This window comes from Homo sapiens, chromosome 20 (genome assembly GCF_000001405.40).
Source record: "Homo sapiens chromosome 20, GRCh38.p14 Primary Assembly".
Classification (NCBI taxonomy): domain Eukaryota; kingdom Metazoa; phylum Chordata; class Mammalia; order Primates; family Hominidae; genus Homo; species Homo sapiens.
Window position 1 is genome coordinate 12,183,186 of NC_000020.11, and position 4,407 is coordinate 12,187,592.

The window sequence follows — 4,407 nt, forward strand, 5'->3', positions numbered from 1 at the left end:
TTGATTAAATCTGCAGATCAATATGGGGATTATTGCAATCTTAACGATATTAGGTCTTCCAATTTGTGAATATGGAATATTGTTTCATTTATTTAGGCCTTCTTTTATTTCTTTCAGTGATATTTTATAGTTTCTGGTGTACAAATCATGTACTTAATGGGTTAAATTTATCATAAGTATTTTACTCTTTGTGATAGTATTTTAAATGGATTAATTCTCTAAATCTCATTTTGGAATGGTCTTTGTTCATGTATAGAAATACAACTGATTTGGTACATTGATCTTGATCTTGTATCTTGCAAACTTGCTAAATTTTATAAGCTCTAATAGTGTATTTGTGCCAGATTTATGGTTTTTGATACGTAAGATATGTAAGATATGTTTCATTCCATTCACTTGTTTCTTTCCATTTCCCTTGTTTCTTGTTTCTTTCTTTCCTTTTATTTCTTTTACTAGCCTATTTCCCAGGATACTACCTCCAGTACAATGTTGAATAGAAGTGGTGAAAAAAGGAGAAAGATTCTTAGGAGGTAAACTTTCAGTATTTCACTGTTAAGTATGTATTTTTTATAGATGTATGCGTTTTTCATAGATGTCCTCTATCAGGTTGAGGAAGTTCTCCTCTGTTCCTAGTATATTGAGTGTTTTTATCAGAAACTTGTATTTTGTCAAATGCTTCTTTTGTGTTTGTTTTGGATTTTTGTATCCTTGATTCTATTACTATGATTAATTATAATGTTTGTTTTGTGAGCCAATCTTGCATTCCTGACATAAATCCCAATGGGTCATGGTGTATATATATTTAAATATGCTTCTGGGTTTAGTTTGCAATATTTTGTTGAGGATTTTTTTTTCTAATTTTTAAAGAGGGAACATTAGTTAGAAATTTAGGGGGAAATTTAGGTTGTTGATTGGAGATCATTATTTTTAATGTAGGTTCTTAAAAGTATAAATTTTTCTTTGAACACTGTTTGCAGTGCATCTCATAAGTTGTGGTATATTGTGTTTTCATTTTCATCTGTCTCAAAGTATTTCCCAATTTCCCATAAAATTTTGTTGACATATTGTTTATTTAGAAATGCATTTTGTAATTTACACATAATTTTGAATTTCCGAAATTTCCTTCTGTTCTTGGTTTCTAATTTCCTTCTACTGTGAAATGCTTTGTAAGATTTCAGTCATTTTAAATTTATTGAGACCATTTATAGCCTACCATCTGTTAAAGAATGTTTCATCAGCATTTCTGATAGAGAAGAATATTTATTCCACTGCTGTTGGGTTGAGTACTGCTTAGGTGTCTGTTAGGTCTAGTTGGTTTATAGTTTATGTTTCAATCTTCTGTTGTCTTGCTGATCTTTTGTCTAGTTTTTCTATCCATCATTGAAAGTGAGATTGAAATATCCAAAATTTATTGCTGAATTTTCTATTATTCCTTAAATTCTTTCAACTTTTACTTAATGTGTTTTGAGACTCTGTTGCTATTTGCATACGTGTTTATAATTAGTATATCTTCTTCAACTATTGACCTTTTATAATTATACAATTTCTTTGTCTCTAGTAACAATTTTTTGTTCTAAAATCTATTTTGTCCTATGTTAATAGAACCAATCTAGCTCCCTTTTGGAATCTGTTTGCGTAATATATCTTTCCCAATACTTTTACCTTCAACCCACTTATGCCTTTGAATTTCAAGGTTGTCTCTCATAGACAGCATACTAGTTTATTGTTTTATTTTTAAGTCAATTCCACCAAACTCTATCTTTTAATTGGAGATCATAGTGGGTTGATCCGTTGTCCCCTCACAAGTGATCAAACCACTATGACTATATATGTGTGTGTATATATATATATATATATATATATATATATATATATATATATATATATGTCTACCTTATACCTGTGGGTGTGAACTTGTTTGGAAAAGGGGTCTTTGAAAATGTAATCAAGTTAACATCTTAAGATGAGATGAATTCTGGGTATGGGGGAGGGAGGCTTAAATCCACTGACTGGTGTCCTATTTTGTGTCATGTTTATTCTTTATTCTATTTTCATGGTTAATTACAATGATTGTTGTAATTAATCATATTACATGTAAGTAAAGAGAAAGAGAAAAATTTGACACACAGAAGGGAAAACGATGTGAAGGCAGAGGTTGAAGTTAGGCAATTCTCTGCGTATTCCTTGGTAAGGAATAACAAGGATTGCTGGCAACTACTAGACATTAGGAGAGAAGCTGTGGAATAGCTTCTCCTTCGGAGCCTCCAGGAGGAACCAACTCTGCTGACACCCTGATCTCAGATTACTGGCCTCCAGAACTGTGAGAAAATGAATTCTTGATGTTTTAAATGACCCAGTTTGTGGTATTTTGTTACAGCAGCCTTAGGAAACTGATAGAGACAGAATCCTTTTATACATAACGTAATTACTGATAGGGTAACATTTGCAACTGACATTTTGCTATTTGTTTGTATATGTCTTATGTCTAGTTTTCCTTCCTTCATTAATTATTGGCTTCTTTTTGTGTTAAATGGACATTTTCTAGTGTGCCATTTTAATTACTTTGCTATTTCCTTAACTGTATAACTTTGTGGATTTTATTTTTAATAATTGCCCTGAGATTACTATTAACCACTTAATTTATGACAATTTACCTGGATTAATTTTATAAGCGAATTTAATTTAGAGCATTAAAAAACTTTTCTCCTGTTTAGCTGTTTTCCTCTGCTTTATGTTGTTATTGTTACAAATTCTATGTTTATACAATATAAAGAAGATTTATAATTTCATATAACTTCATCAATCTATAATTACTGCTTTATTTTACAATCATATCAGAGAAAAATGGGAGTTACACACAGGAGATGCATTTATACTGTCATTTATATTTACCTACATATTTACCTTTACCAGTGTTTTTTATTTCTTTGTGTAGATTTTAATTTCTGTCTAGTGTCCTTTCATTTCAGCCTGAAGAACTCCCTTAAGTATTTATTATAGGGTGGGACTGTCAATAACAAGCTCACTCTGTTTTCATGTGAGAATATCTTAATTTTCCCTGCCTTTTTGATGGATTTTTTAATACATAAAGTTATTTTATTATTATTATTATTATTAATGCATTTGTTTGTTATGTAATTGTCCACTTGTTCTAAAATAATTTCAACTTTTATTTTAGATACAGTGGGTACATGTGCAGGTTTGTTACATGGGGATATTAAATGATGCTAAGGTTTGGATTGTGGATTCTGTCATCCTGCTATTGAGCATAGTACCTGATATGTAGCTTTAATCTACCCCCCTCTACCCTCTAGTATTTACAATGTCTATTGTTCTGGTAGTTATGTCCATGAGCGCTCAATGCTTAGCTCCCACTTATAAGTGAGACATGTAGTATTTGGTTTTGTGTTTCTGCATTAATTTGGTTAGGATTATGACTTCTGGCTCCATTTATATTGCTGCAAAGGATCTGATTTTATTCGTTTTTATGGTTGCATAGTATTGCATGGTGTATATGTTCACATATACAAACTACACATTTCCTTTATACAATCTACCATTGATGGGCAACTGGGTTGATTCCATGTCTTTGCTATTGTGAATAGTGCACTGATGAACATACAAGTGCATGTTTCTTTTTGGTAGAATGATTTATTTTCTTTTAGGTATATACCCAGAAATGGTATTACTGGGTCAAATGGTAGCTCTGTTTTAAGTTCATTGGGAAATCTCCAGACTGCTTTCCACAGTGACTGGATTAATTTACATTTCCACCAACAGTGTATAAGCATTACTTTTTCTCTGCAGTCTCGCCAGCATCTGTTGTTCTTTTAACTTTTTAATAATAGTCATTCTGACTGATTTGCATTTCTCTGACGATCGATTTATGAGCATTTTTTCATATGTTTGTTGGTCACTTGTATGTTTTCTTTTGAGAATTGTCTGTTCATGTCCTTTGCTTATTTTTTAATGGAGCTATTTGCTTTTTGCTTGTTGATTTATGTTCCCTATAGATTCTGGATATTAGGCCTTTGTTGGATGTATAGGTTGCAAATATCTACCCTATTCTGTAGGTTGTATGTTCACTCTGTTGATAGTTTCTTTTGCTTTGCAGAAATTCTTTAGAATAATTAGGTTTCACTTGTCTATTTTTGTTTTTGTTGCAATTACTTTTGCGGCTTTAGCCAAAAATTGTTTGCCATGGCCAGTACTAAGAAAATAATATTTCCTAGGTTGTCTACCAGGATTTTTAGAGTTCAAGGTCTTACATTTAAATCTTTAACCTATTTTGAGTTAATTTTTGTATATAGTGAAAATATGGCATATGTTTTTTGTAATTTTTGTAGGTGTACTGCTTTAATCTTCTGAATATGGCTGGCCCATTATCCTAGCACCATTTGTTGAATA